The 14,477-nt window shown below is 40.8% G+C and overlaps 1 protein-coding gene across 14 annotated transcripts in view, besides 5 other annotated features; it reads left to right on the forward strand.

Annotated features, from left to right (window-relative positions):
- The window catches only part of KIZ (kizuna centrosomal protein), a 120,648-nt gene that overhangs the window by 51,952 nt on the left and 54,219 nt on the right, over nucleotides 1-14,477 (forward strand). The window lies entirely within an intron of this gene.
- Nucleotides 2,972-3,472: an enhancer, noted in NCBI's record as "H3K27ac hESC enhancer chr20:21161538-21162038 (GRCh37/hg19 assembly coordinates)". NCBI's record gives its function as "activates a minimal SCP1, AML or CMV promoter by ChIP-STARR-seq in naive and primed H9 embryonic stem cells {active_cell/tissue: H9 hESC(naive and primed)}" and the evidence as "EXISTENCE:reporter gene assay evidence [ECO:0000049][PMID:30033119]".
- Nucleotides 11,597-12,570: an enhancer, noted in NCBI's record as "OCT4-NANOG-H3K27ac-H3K4me1 hESC enhancer chr20:21170163-21171136 (GRCh37/hg19 assembly coordinates)". NCBI's record gives its function as "activates a minimal SCP1, AML or CMV promoter by ChIP-STARR-seq in naive and primed H9 embryonic stem cells {active_cell/tissue: H9 hESC(naive and primed)}" and the evidence as "EXISTENCE:reporter gene assay evidence [ECO:0000049][PMID:30033119]".
- Nucleotides 11,597-13,544: a biological region, named in NCBI's record as "hESC enhancers GRCh37_chr20:21170163-21171136 and GRCh37_chr20:21171137-21172110".
- Nucleotides 12,283-12,577: a silencer, noted in NCBI's record as "tiled region #8283; HepG2 Repressive non-DNase unmatched - State 15:Elon". NCBI's record gives its function as "represses a minimal TATA promoter and a strong SV40 promoter by Sharpr-MPRA in HepG2 cells {active_cell/tissue: HepG2}" and the evidence as "EXISTENCE:reporter gene assay evidence [ECO:0000049][PMID:27701403]".
- Nucleotides 12,571-13,544: an enhancer, noted in NCBI's record as "OCT4-NANOG-H3K27ac hESC enhancer chr20:21171137-21172110 (GRCh37/hg19 assembly coordinates)". NCBI's record gives its function as "activates a minimal SCP1, AML or CMV promoter by ChIP-STARR-seq in primed H9 embryonic stem cells {active_cell/tissue: H9 hESC(primed)}" and the evidence as "EXISTENCE:reporter gene assay evidence [ECO:0000049][PMID:30033119]".

The raw sequence follows: 14,477 nt of genomic DNA on the forward strand, positions 1-14,477 counted from the left end.
CATTGGTCTATATGTCTGTCTTTATGCCAATACCATACTGTTTTGATTATGGTAGCTTTGTAATATATTTTGAAATCAGGACGTGTGATGCCTCCAGCTTTTTCTTCTTTCTCAAGATTGTCTTGGCTGTTCAGGGTCTTTTGTGATTCCACATGAATTTTAGTCTTGTTTTTTTATTTCTGAAAAAAAATGCCATTGAAATTTTGATAGCAATTTCATAGAATCTGGAGATTGCTTTGGTAGTATGGACACTTTAACAATATTAAATCTTATAATCCATGAACATGGAATTCTTTCCATTTGCTTGTATCTTCTTTAATTTCTGTCATCAATGTTTTGTAGTTTTTAGCATGGAAGTCTTGTACCTCCTTAATTAAGTTTATTTCTAAGTATTTTATTCTTATTGGTGCTATTGTAAATGGAAATATTTTTCTAATTTCATATTCAGACAGTTTGTTGTTAGTGTATAGAAACACAACTGATTTTTGTATGTTGATTTTGTATCCTACAACTTTACTGAATTCATTTATTAATTCTAACAGTATGCATCTGTGTGTGTATGTGATCTTTAGAGTTTTCTATATATCATGTCATCTGCAACAGGGACAATTTTACTTGGATTTGAATAGCTTTTATTTCTTTTCCTTGCCTAATTATTCTGGCTAGGGCTTTCAGTACTGTATTAAACAGAAGTGGCAAGAGTGGGCATCCTTGTCTTGTTCGTGATCTCAAAGGAAAAGCTTTCAGCTTTCACCATTGAGTATGATATTAGCTGTGAACTTTATATATGTGACCTTTATTAAGCTGAGGTAATTTCATCCTATGTCTAGTTTATTGAGAGGTTTTTATTGGGAAGGGGTGTTGAATTTTGTCAAACAGTTATTCTGTGTCTATTAAGATGGTCATGTGATTTTTATCTTTCATTCTGTTACTGTGGTGTATCACATTGATTTTTATATGTTGATTCATTCTTGCATCCCAGGGATAAACATCTCACTTAGTTATGATTTATGATTCTTTTAATGTACTGCTGAATTTGGTTTGTTAGTATTTTGTTGACAATATTTGTGTCTATATTCATTAGGCATATTGGTCTGTAGTTTTCTTTTTTGTGGTATCTTTGCCTGGGTTTGGCATCAGGGTAATGCGGGCCTAATAAAATAAGTTTGGAAGTATTCCCTTTTTTTCAGTTTTTTTGGAAGAGTTTGAGAAGTATTGGCATTAATTCTTTAAATGTCTGGTAGAATTCACCAGTGAAGCTATCTGGTCCTGGGGTTTTTTTGTTTTTTTTTTTTTTTTGATGGGAGGTTTTTGATTACTGATTCAGTCTCCTTACTAGTTTTAGGTCTGTTCAGACTATTTCTTTATTAATTAGTCTTGGTATGTGTATGTTTTTAGGAATTTATTTATTTCTTCCAGGTTATCCAGTTTGTTGGTTTGTAATAGTTTATATAGTTTCTTGTGATCTTTTTTAATCTCTGTGATATCAATTGCAGTGTTTCCTCTTTCATTTCTGATTTTATGTATTTGGGTTTTCTCTCTTTTTTCTTAAGTAGTCTAGCTAACGGTTTGTCAATTTTGTTTATTTTTTCAAAAAAGTCTTAGTTTTATTGATTTTTTTTCCTATTTTTTGTATTCTCTTTTTCATTTATCTCTGATCATTATTATTTCCTTCTATCTACTAACTTTGTGCTTGGTTTGTTCTGTTTTTCTACTTAAGGTGTGAAGTTAGGTTGTTGATTTAAGCTTTTCTTCTTTTTAAATGTAAGTTTTTACTGCTATAAACTTCTCTCTTATACTGGTCTTGCTGCATCTTCTAAGTTTCGGTATGTTGTATTTTTGTTTTCATTTGTCTCAGATGTTTTCTAATGTCCCTGTTGATTTATTTTGTGATCCATTAGTTGTTAGTGTGTTGTTTAATTTCCACATGTTTGTGAATTTTACAATTTTGCTTCTGCTATTGATTTCTGATTTCATTCCATTTCATCAGAGAAAATACTTGGTATGATTCAGTCTTTTTAAATTTGTAAGACTTGTTTTGTAAGCTAACACGTGATCTGTTCTAGAGAATGTTTTGCCAGCACTTGAGAAGAATGCTATTGCGTTTGGGTGGAGTGTTCTGTATATGTTTGTTAGGTCCATTTGACCAGTACTGTTATTCAAGTTTGTTGTTTCTTTGTTGATTTTGTCTGGTTGTTCTATTTATTATTGAAAATGGAATACTGAAGTCTCCCACCAGTATTATATTGCTATGTATTTCTCCTCATTTTCAAACTCAAAAATCTGTGAGTTTTTGGTTTGCTCTTTGCTCCTTTTTTTTTTTTTTTAATAAGGAAATTCAGGCAGTTTTTTAAAAAGATGATGACGATGACAACTCTTTTCCTAGAATTTTTTTCACCATTTTATATTTAAGTAAATTATGACATTTTGGGGCAGTCTCCCAAGTAAGTGTTAAGGTGCCCTACCCCCACTCTCTTGGAGCCAAATAAGTGGTAGGGGGTGGGGCGAGGGACGGGTGCAAGGGGAGGAAAAGTCAGGAAGGCTACTGAGAGCATAGAGCCGACTTCAGCCTCTGTTGGGAAGGGAACCAGCAGTCAAGCCAAATCCTACTACGGGTGTAGCAAAACTCAACTTCTTTCAATACGAATTTGAGATCTAAGAGTAGTTTATTCTGGTGGAGCAGGCTTACCCATGGTTTCAGAAGTTAGAGAGGAGACTCTGAGAGTCAAGCCCTGGTTGTTCAAGACCCAAATAAGGCAGGAGAAAGCAGGACATAGGCAGGTTTCCAAGAAAATGAGCCCAATAGCATTCAAGCCTCAGTGACAGGCCAGGTATAGGTACTCCAGTCAGTAGTCCCAGCTGAGCCCAGTAGTTCTAGCCCAAGCTCCAGATGTGAGTTTAGGAATCACCAAATAATTCCAGTCCCTTTATTCCAAGTCACCCTCAGATGTTCAAGCTGAGGCCCCAGACATCATGGAGCACAGACAAGCCCTACCCATGTCCAGATTACTGAACCACAGAAGCCATGAGGATTATAAAAAGTTGTTGGTTGTTGTTTTATACCACTAAATTTGGGTAGTATTTTATTATACAGCAGTAGGTAACCGGAATAACCATGATGACTGGTTTGGCTAGTTGAAGGAGATTCATCATTCCAGATTTTGAGGGCTGCAGTATGAACAGAGGCCTGGAGATAAGCAAGCATGGCCCGTATCTGGGAACTATTGTTTCTCCAACTGAAGGAGTGGCTCACATGCCAGCAAACAGCACCACTGTAGGCCCAGGGGATGCAGTCAGGGTCTGCAAAGTGTCTTTTCCTCACCTCTCCAGTCCGCACACAAGAGCAGCCACCTGGTCTTGCCTCATGCTGGCCCAGCCACACCAATGGCAAGGGTTCTATTGTTAACTCAGATTTTTTAAAAGGACAAAGAGGAGACATGTTAGGGGCAGGATGCACATTTGTCATTTTAAAATATCTCCTTAAATTCTTTTCAATGAAACACAAATTTGAATTACTGAAAAGCCATCTATCCAAGTTTTTTTTTTTTTTTAGACAGGGTCTCACTCTGTCACCCATACCAGAGTGCAGTGGCGTGATCTTGGCTCACTGCAACCTCCACCTCCCAGGTTCAAGCGTTTCTCATGCCTCAGCTTCCCTTGTAGCTGGGATCACAGGCATGCGCCACCATGCCTGGCTAATTTTTGTATTTTTAGTAGGGATGTGGTTTTACCATGTTGCCCAGGCTGGTCTTGAACTTCTGACCTCAAGTGAGCCACCCTCCTCGGCCTCCCAAAGTGCTGGGATTACAGATGTGAGCCACTGCACCTGGCTTCTGAGTTCTTTTTTAAAACTTAGTTTTCTGGCATTGTTGAACATTCAGCTATTATCTTGATATATCAGGATGCTGTTGGTTGCCAATAACAGGAACACTGTCTGAAACACAGATGCTTAAACAAGAAGTGCATTTGTTCTGTCTCATTTCTGGAAGTCCAGAGGTAGAGCAGGCCATGGAGTTGGTTGGTACTGCCCATCACTTTTGTTGTCAAAGACCCAGATCCTTTCCATTTCCCTGCTCTGACATCCTCAGTGTTGACCTCTTCCTACAGCCAGGAGCAAAGTGGCAGCAGCAGTGCTATTATGGACTAAATGTTTGTGTCCCTCTAAAATTCATATGTTAAAGCTGTAACCCTCAGTGTGATATTTGGAGAAGGGACCTTTGGGAGGTACTTTGGGTTAGATGAGGTCAGGAAGGTAGGGCTGTCATGATAGAATTAAATGCACTTATAAGAAGAGACACAAGAGAGCTCTGTCTCGCCCCCACCGTCTGAGGACACAGTGAGGAGTCAGAAGGTGGATAAATACCAAGGACCCCATCTAGACACCACAGCCTTATATAGCTTCCAAAGACAGAAAGAGACTCTCTTCTTGAGTCTCTGTTAGAAGCAAGGAAAGTATTCAATAGACTTCCCCTTGCATCTTGTTGACTAAAATTTGTTCACAGACCCATTCCTAAGCTAATTACTGGCAAGGGTTATTATAATTGTTCTAGACTAAGGAAGCCTTTTCTATGGAAGACCAAATAGTAAGGCCAGGCGCAGTGGCTCAGCCCTGTAATCCTAGCACTTTGGGAAGCCAAGGTGGGCGGATTGCCTGAGTTCAGGAGTTCAAGACCAACCTAGGCAACATGGCGAAACCCTATCTCTACTAAAAATACCAATAATTAGCTGGGCGTGTTGGTGTGCATCTGTAATCTCAGCTACTCGGGAGGCTGAGGCATGAGAATCACTTGAACCCGGGAGGCAGAGGTTGCAGTGAGCCGAGATTGTGCCACTGCACTCCAGCCTGGGCAACGGAATGAGACTGTCCCCCCACCAAAAAAAAAAAAAAAAAAAGACCAAATAGTAAATATTTTAGACTTCTTTTCTCCTCTCCCCTCCCTCTCTCTGCTCTTTATCTCTTTAAATATGTGCTCAAGAGCTATACAACAGCAGGCTGTGGCTGGATTTGGTCACTCCTGGCTTAGATTAATCACAGTCTACTCTGGAATGAGGCAAGGGGTTATTGCCCCATGAGTTATACAAGGGAGAGGTTGATTACTAAACAAAATTGGGGTCCCATGAAAAGGAAGAAGGGAGATGGACACTGAGTAGGCAACTGCACGATTGCTAAATTTGGTCCAAAGAAAGGTTAGTAGATGCAGAGAACAGCCAAAGGGACTGAATCTGGAGACAACTCTACCCCAGCAAGGTGTTTGTCCTGTGACTGGTGGGTTAAAATGGGAATGCAACAGGCAAGTTGTTTGTGATGAATAGGTATTGCTTTCATAATCAGAAAAAAAATTAAGACCATCTTTCAGAAATGTTCTAAAATTCGATTGTGTGATGGTTGCACAACTCTGAGTATACTAATAAAAACCATTGACGTGTACATTTTAAGTTAGTGAATTTTATGACATGTGAGTCATATCTCAGTAGAGCAGTTAAAAAAAGAATCTCTTGAATTCCAAAGCTTAAAAACCATGGACCGCAGCTCTGTGGTGCTTGCTGTTTAGAGGCAAGGGCGCCTTTGGCTGTGTGGCTAGCTTCACGGCTTTCACGGATGGCCTTGGAAATCTTCCCATAATGGGAATGCTTTTAATGACCATTTCTTTTTACATATGTGCTAAATATTTTTCAGGCCATGCAAAATATTTTACATTTTATAATCAAAGAATTAGCATGCTTACAATAAAAATAAAACTGATACAGAAACAGTAAATTACAGGATTTTTTTTTGTCCCTTTTAACCCTTTTTAAAGTGTATTTTCTCTTTTTATGCAGTAGGACTCATTCACTGCATATGTCAATGCAGCCCAGTGGTAGACAGTCTTCAGGCTGGCTTTGCCCAAGCCTCAGATGGTACCAGTGGGCTCTGACTTCTCTGTTTCCCTCTGATCTACTCCGTCTGGATCAACTCAGTTCTTAGGCCCTGCAGCTGGAGAATTTTTCCCTGGCATGCTGAATCAGAGGCTGTCATTGGCTCTGACCACATCATATGCCCATCCCCTACACAATCACTGAAGCAAGGGCAGAGTCCATTGGCTTTTACCTGGATCTCATGCTTCACTCAAGCTGTATGGGTTAGGATAGGGGAGTAGTGGTTCGTCAGAATAAAACTGGGTTCTGTTAATGGTTGCCAGGTGGCAGACCCAACACTTTCCTTCTCTGCATCCCTGACATCTTTTTTTTTTTTTTTTTTGAGTCAGAGTCTCGCTGTTGTTGCCCAGGCTAGAGTGCAATGGTGCGATCTCAGATCACTGCAACCTCTGCCTCCTGGGTACAAGTGATTCTCCTGCCTCAGCCTCCCAAGTAGAGCTGGGATTACAGGTGCCCACCACCACACCCAGCTAATTTTTTGTATTTTTAGTAGAGACGGGGTTTCACTGTGTTAGCCAGGCTGGTCTCGAACTCCTGACCTCAGGCGATCCACCTGCTCGGCCTCCCAAAGGGCTGGGATTACAGGCGTGAGCCACCACGCCCGGTCCCCTGACTTCATTACTGCCTGTTGTTGCCCATTTCATTCTTCCTTCTTTAGTTCTATGTGGCATACTTTCCCTTTAATTATCTTTAACTTATAGTTCTCACCTTTGAAGAATAGCAGTTGAGCTTCTAGTGACAGACTTTTGGAAAAACCAAGTTTGTTTTAAGGTGGGATTTGACAAAGAACCTTCAAGCTTGATAACTGAGTGGGAAAGCTTCCCTTCAGTGAGGGAAAAGTGTCTGCAGGTAGGCCAGGTGAATGAGACACCCTAAAACTTGAAAGTTAAGCAGGAAATAAGACTTTAATGTTTCCTGGGGCCTCGTGTCGTGGCATGCCTTTTATCCCAGCACTTTGGGAGGCCGAGGTGGGAGGATTACTTGAGGCCAGGAGATTGAGACCAGCCTGAGCAACATAGCAAGACCTTGGCTCTATAAAAATAAAAATAAGTTAGTCAGGCATGATGGTACACACCTGTAATCCTAGCTACTCAGGAAACTGAGGTGGGAGGCTTGCTTGAGCCCAGGAGTTGGGAAATACAGTGAGCTATGATTGCATCACTGCATTCCAGCCCAGGCAACAGAGCAAGACCCTGTCTCAAGGAAAGGAAAAAAATAATTGTGTGTGTGTGTGTCTGTGTGTACGTGTGTGTATGCACGTGCACGTGCTTTCTGTACTTTTATACTGAATCTATTTTGAATTTGGGTTGGAAGCTTTAGAATATTACCTTAACCTACAAGAGAGATGTGAGGAATAGTTCTGAGTCCCCTATCTTTTATGGCTTTCAACTATTTTTCTCACTTTTTTTCTGACGGTTTTCCTTTGTCAGTGTAAATTCATTTTGATTTGCTTGTTATTTTGATGGACTGGAAATGTGTTTTTAAATCTGAAAACAGTACTAGTTTCAAATTTGTTTTCTTTACTGTAGTGATTCTCAGATATATTTTAGTAAAATTATTCTACCTTTTTTTTTTTTTTTTTTTTGAGACGGATTCTCACTCTGTCACCCAGGCTGGAATGCAGTGGCATGATCGCGGCTCACTGTAACCTCTGCCTCCTGGGTTCAAGCGATTCTCCTGCCTCAGCCTCCCGAGTAGCTGGGATTACAGGCAGCCACCACCACACCCGGCTAATTTTTGTACTTTTAGTAGAGACAGGGTTTTACCATTGTTGCCCAACAGGGTCTCGAACTCCTGGCCTCAAGTGATCCACCCACCTTAGCCTCCCAAAGTGCTGGGATTACAAGCGTGAGCCACCACGCCCAACCCTACTTTTTTTTTTTTTTTTAAACAGAGTCTTGCTCTGTTGCCCAGGCTGGAGTGCAGTGACGCCATCCTGGCTCACCACAGCCTCAACCTCCCAGGTTCAAGCAGTTCTCCTGCCTCAGCCTCCCGAGTAACTGGGACTACAGACGTGTGCCACCATGCCCTGCTGGAATTATTCTACATTCTAAGTTCATAGGAAAATTAATCTTTGAATTTTGAGAACCGTCTCAAAATTGGTTTACTAAAACTTGGGCACCTGCTATATAGTTTGCCTACTAGAAGATAATAAAATGAATGAGAGTACCAAATGAAAAATAATGGAAAGTATGGAAGTTGCTGATCTCGACAGATTCTTAAATCATGGACGTATGTGTTAATGGTTTGATTTTTATATTGTGTACATATATTTATTGTTTACTAGTAAAAAATGTTCTAATTTATGTGATAAATGGAATATATCAATACTTCATGGCAAAAATTTTTGTGAATTTCAGGTGTTCTGCCACCTTAAACGTTGAAAAGCACTGCTTTCCAGGATAGCCAAATCCCTAAAAGAATTTCTGGTCATGAGACTGATTATCCTTACTGATCAGCTGTGTCACACATCACATGGACATATGATGTCCATGTGATGGACTGGACTGGGCATGGTTGTTTTAGGAGCATGACTGGCATCTGTAATCATGAGTACACTTGGAATCCGTTTCTTCCGTTTCGAAAAGTCCACTTACCCGGAATTGGGACTTGTCTGACATCCCCTAAACTCTGACACTGACAAAAGAGGTCATTGCATCTGGTTCCCAGCTACTTCCATACTTTCCATTATTTTTCATTCGGTACTCTCATTCATTTTATTATCTTCTAGTAGGCAAACTAGATAGCAGATGCCAAAGCTTTAGTAAACCAATTTTGGGAAGGTTCTCAAAATTATAAAGAGTAATTTTCCTAAGAACTTAGAAAAGACCACTTTACTCAAATGTAGAATAATTCTACTAAAATATATCTGAGAATCACTACAGTAAAGAAAACAAACTCAAATCTAACAGGCTGTCCTAGGAGAGCCAGTTAGCTTTTGTTGTTTTCTTGCTTACATCCCGCCTTCCCTTCTTCCACACTTAATCCATTTATCCATTCATAATACTTGTTCTTGTCCACTTTCATTTTTCTTATTTCTTCTTTTTGTCTTTGGCTTCCTCTTAGCAGCTTCTTAGACAAACAAGCACTTGAATAATAAATTGATTCAGCATCTTCAGTTTAATACAGGGCAGGTTGAGCATCCCAAATCCCCAAATCCAAAGTCCGAAATGCTCCAAAATCTGAAACTTTTTGAGTGCCAACATGATGAATGTTTATTGGAGCATTTCAGATTTGGGATACTTATATTCCAAAATCAAAAAATAAAAATTAAAAAAAAACACAATTCAAAATCTGAAAAAATTCAAAATCCAAATTCCCAACCATTTCAGATAAAGGATACTCAACCTATATTGATCCTCTAAGGGTTCAACAGCAAACCAGCCCAATCCTTTCAGCCATCCTATATTTGGTGTCTACCATGCTCAGGGAGCAGGAGGCATGATATTCATAAGCCAGGCATTTCACTGTTATCATGGAAGTAGACCCCGAGCAAAGTCAGAACCCAGGATGGGACCTGCCCTACTCATCTGAGTGCCCCCTCAGTGGAGGATAACTCTGTACTAGACCCATTCCCATTCATCAGACTAAATTGGCCTCTGTGGAGACTCACTTATCCTAGAGAAGTGACATGGCAGCTTATTTCAGGGTCTCAGCATTGCCTGAGCCGAAATTCAGTAAGCCTATCCACCGTGCCATCATGCCTTCTTGTTTCCCTTCTCCCTGAATCCGCTCACCTAGTGTAACCCTCACCAGCCCAGTCTGAGCCTCCTCGTCTCCTCTCTTAAACACACGTGTATATATGGATAGAAACAGACAGACAGACATGGAACAACACAGCAGAGTCTGATGTTTTGTTTTATGGTCCTGCGTCAGCCGTTAATCCTCACAAAGATAATTCTACCTTGACAACACCAGATACCTTTTCATCATCATCATTTAACCTCTAGAGTTTAATGATAGAACTGATTATAATGTCTAGTAAATTCTTTATGATATGTTTGTAGTATTTTAAAACTTTTTGAAAATACAGAGCCTAATTGTATTAAATTTGGGGAAGGCATAAAGTTGTATGATAATAAGACATTTACCCTCGTTGGGCCTCAGAAAATGACACCCCAAAGGGAAGGCCCCAGAAGTAAGTTTCTCTCTGATCTTCTCCCACTCTCCTGTACCTCAGCCTCATTTTCTCAGAGGTAAGCTTTAGAAACTAGAATTCCTTTTCCTCAAAGTGAATCATAAAAACCTGAACCCATTTTCCCCAAAGCCAGCCATAAAACCTAAAAATATTACTCGAATTTCCCTCCTGTATTTCTGTGGCAGAGTTGGCCGTAAAGAAATTCTCTAACCTACCCTGTTTGATTGTGAGTCGTAAGACTCCCCATTTCAGAAAGGGTCCTGCCCCATACCAGGGAGGAAGGAACACTGCACAGAGACGCCAAGAAGAATGAACAGACAGGCCTGGCAGAGTTTCCCCACTCAGTCTGTTAGCATTCAATCATACTTACCTTCTTGGCCAAGCACAGTTCTACATGGTTGTCTGTTCTTCACTGAACTTCAGCATAAAAATGGAAAGTTTTCCCAATATCCTTAGGTCTTCAATCTGAAGGCTGCCATGTCACAGAAAACAATGATCAAATAAAATTTGTTTTGTTTTCTTCTGTTAACCTGTTTGTTATAAGGGTGTTGACTGTGACCCTTATGATGAGGAGGAAAGGGATCACCCCTTCTGACCCTACACCCTCCACATTTTTTTTTTTTAGTAGATATTTAAAGCGGTCACTTTAGGTAGCTGGCTCCATAATAAGCCCTGGAGATCTGTTTTGCATTTTATTTTATTTATTTATTTATTTATTTATTTATTTATTTATTTTTGAGACGGAGTCTTGCCCTGTCACCCAGGCTGGAGTGCAGTGGCACGATCTGGGCTCACTGCAAGCTCTGCCTCCTGGGTTCACGCCATTCTCCTGCCTCAGCCTCCCAAGTAGCTGAGACTACAGGCGCCTGCCACCACGCCCAGCTAATTTTTGTGTGTGTGTGTTTTTTTGGTAGAGACGGGGTTTCACCGTGTCAGCCAGGATGGTCTCGATCTCCTGACCTCATGATCCACCTGCCTCGGCCTCCCAAAGTGCTGGGATTACAGGTGTGAGCCACCCCGCCCAGCCTGTTTTGTATTTTATTTTAAGAGACGGAGTCTTGCTATGTTGCCCAGGCTGGTCTCAAACTCCTAGGTTCAAGCAGTCCTCCCACATTGGCTTCCCAAAGTGCTGGGATTAGAGGTATGAGCCACCATCCTGCATGCTGTTTATGCATCTCAGTTGGAGAACTCAGCCAGCACCCTAATGACTTCACCCTTCTATGGCTGCTGATTTGGAAGAAACCCAGGGAAGCAAGAGTAAATTTTCCCAATCTTTACCTGTCCAGTCAGGAGGATTTTTTCAACCTGAAAAAAACAGAACCCCTATTCGGTTAAAGGGGTTAAGTTTGGGATCCATAGAATTACCAAAGAGAGAATGCTATTCATTTCATAAAGGATGTCTGCCACCATTACAAATGATCCTTGGCTATTAAAAATGGGTGATTGGTTCAGGCGGTTTAAGGGTGGAGGAACAAATGCGTGATGGGTTCTCTCTTTAAGGGTGGATGGAAATACCTATTAAAAATTCTCCCAAGCCTTCCAGCTCTTCATTAAGAAACTTTTTTAAAAAGTCATATGGGAGAGGGTTCGTTCTGAAAATTAAAATGGAACAGAATGATGAGGTCTATTCAGAGGCCAAAGTGGGGAAAAGGCAAGGGTTTTGCTTGTGCAGCCTGTGCTACAATGAAGAGGACCTTAGTACAGACGGATGGTGCCCTACCAAATGTAGCCCATAATTCAAGCTGTCAGCTTCATCACACTGTTTCCAGGTAAAGAGAAGGAGCCCTTGTTTCCTGGGTAAAGAGAAGGAGCGTTGTTTGCTGACCCCTGGTCCACAGCCTGCCGTGGTCGCCTCGCTGTGCTGGCCTTTGTGTTGCTGTCCCCTCCTTCCCTCCTTTTTGGCATTGTGCTCCCTTCAAGTGGCCCCCTGGAAGGGACCACCCAGGGGGCTGCACAATGGAGATTGAGGTAGCCACAAAAACACAGGTTTTGTAAGACAGCCCTTTAAAAGAAAAATACTGTTTAACTATGTATGTGTTTGTCCTTTCTACAACTGTTTTGTGTGGCAAACAAAACCCTGTATACAAACTTCACTGTGGCCTCACATACAGCTGTTCCAGCCATCGGGTGTCAGGCTTGAGATAGTCGCTTCCAGTTTATTTTCCCAGGACACTAATTCTTGATGTAGTTTCTAGTTACATGCTTAGATTTATGGCCAAGAAATGTGATATCAAAACAAGCAAATTGCGCTGGCTTTATTAAACTATTTTATCAGTAGTCCTCACAGTTGACGGCTGGGCATTGCTCCTGGGTGAAATTTGCCTGTAATGCTGCTTAACAAAAGCTAGCAGCCCGGAATTCAGTTCTCAATAGCCATTTACACCTCTGTAAAAGGATTAGCGCTAGCCAATTGTTACACTGTTTAAATCTTAATTTGCATCACTATGGGGGTAGAGCTTCTACAGACCTCTCTGGTTCCCAGTTGAATTTGTGTACCTGTGGATGGGAGAGTCACTAGAGATTTCTCTTATTGATGAAGGTGCTAAATTGCCTCGGGATAACCGGTATGCCACAAATATTGAATTAGCCTCTCAGGTTCCAACTGACAGACAATAGTCTGCTTTGGTTCATTAGTTATATTTTATAGCAGTTGTGGTCCTTGAGTATTTGGTACTTGGATGCATTCTTCTACATCTGTTTCAAGTAAAAATTTTCATGGGTCTTAGGAGGATTTTAAATGTTGTTATTTGTAAGTAGCAAATTTCCTTGGGAATTATATGCAAAACAAAAAACAGAACGTGATAGTTTTAAAAGTAATCTTTTTCTATCCAGACCATATGTTTTTAAAGATCAAAGCCTTTTTATGTTTAGAATTGCCCTGTCAATAGACAATAGATGAAATTGTCTTTTCATAATGTAAAGCTGGAACTACACATCAGTTTCAGATGCTCAGCCTAGGCCTGAGTGAATTCTAATTGTAAGATGGAGGAGGAGGGAGGTGGACAGGGAGGGAAACTAGCAGGTCAGGAGCATGGCAGGAAGAGAGGGTATTAAACTACATTAAATGGATGAAAATTGAGGGAGTTTGGAATGCTTGGTTGGAATGAAAACAAAGCTTGGGACATTTTAATGACCACCTTATCACCACTTCCACCATTTTTCCCTCATAAAGCATTTGTTCATTTATTCAACAAATAGTTACTAGGTATCCATCTCATGCATAGTGTTAGCCACTGAATTTAGTGATTATTGCACGTGGAGTAAAAAGAATTGTCTTGGTTGCTGAGAGTAGTCAGGATGGTAAATATAATTTAAACAGACTTTGCAGCCTGCAAGTTTTCCATGTAATAGACATGCCAGGCAGAAGGAAAGCAGACACAACTGCTTATAAATAAATATTGCCCTTTTAAGAAACATTAAAGAAATTGAATGCACTGGGTGGAAGGGCTTTTGGGGAACTCCCCAGGAAAGGTTGTTTTGAGTCTATGGCGAAAGCCAGGCCAGCCATTCCTGGGGAGGTGAGCCACAGCAAAGGCTTTGGTATTCCAAGAAAGCAACCACAACTAAATTATTTTTTGTTTTTTAACTTTGGAAAATTTTGAGGCAGTGACTGGATGCTCATTGATCCTCACAGAGGCTAAAGAAATCGTCATGGTTTAAAAATTAAAATAACTGAAATAAGGAAGCCTGTTCATTTTGCTTTAATGTATCTTTGTACACATGCTAAAAGAGAACAGGGGGGGAAGCATCCAGAAAGGAACTTACACCTTAGTTGATTTGTACCTGAGAAGAATTTTTAGTATATGAGGTTAACCAACAAGTTTGTTTTGTTTTTTGGAGAGGAGGTAGGGCTTGTTTAAAAGAAAGAAAAAAAAAAAAAGCAGCCCCAAACTCTACCAGTGTAACAGTAAAAGGAGTTTAGTGAGAGAAGGCAGTAAAGCAGCCCGGAGCTCCCTTATCGAGAATGTTTTAGTTTCTTCTACTCACAAACCCTCTTTGTTGGGAACTGTCCAACCCCAGCTTCTGCCGGCGGGGAGGGGTACACTGGGATTGGAAGAAGGGAAACCAGGGCTCCAAGGAGCAGGATCAGGACGGAAGGTAGGGCCAACCCCATGAAAAGACAGAAGTTGAGTTTCCTAGCCAGTTTTTCTGTGTCACTGGAAAACAATTGGAATTTGAAACAAAGGTTGGCTGCCTTGCCTCTTCCCACCTTTCTGAATACAAGGTATTTCTGAATTACATGTTCATCACTTAGGGACCACCTCTCCAAATGATACCATTTTGTTGTTCATTTCTGGATTTTTTTTTTTTTTTTTTTTTTGCGGGGGAGGGTGTTATTTTGTTTGATTATTAGCGACTGGGTTATACTATGTTGCCCAGGCTAGACTCCAACTCCTGGGCTCTAGCGATCCTCCTGCCTCAC

This window comes from Homo sapiens, chromosome 20 (assembly GCF_000001405.40).
Source record: "Homo sapiens chromosome 20, GRCh38.p14 Primary Assembly".
NCBI lineage: Eukaryota > Metazoa > Chordata > Mammalia > Primates > Hominidae > Homo > Homo sapiens.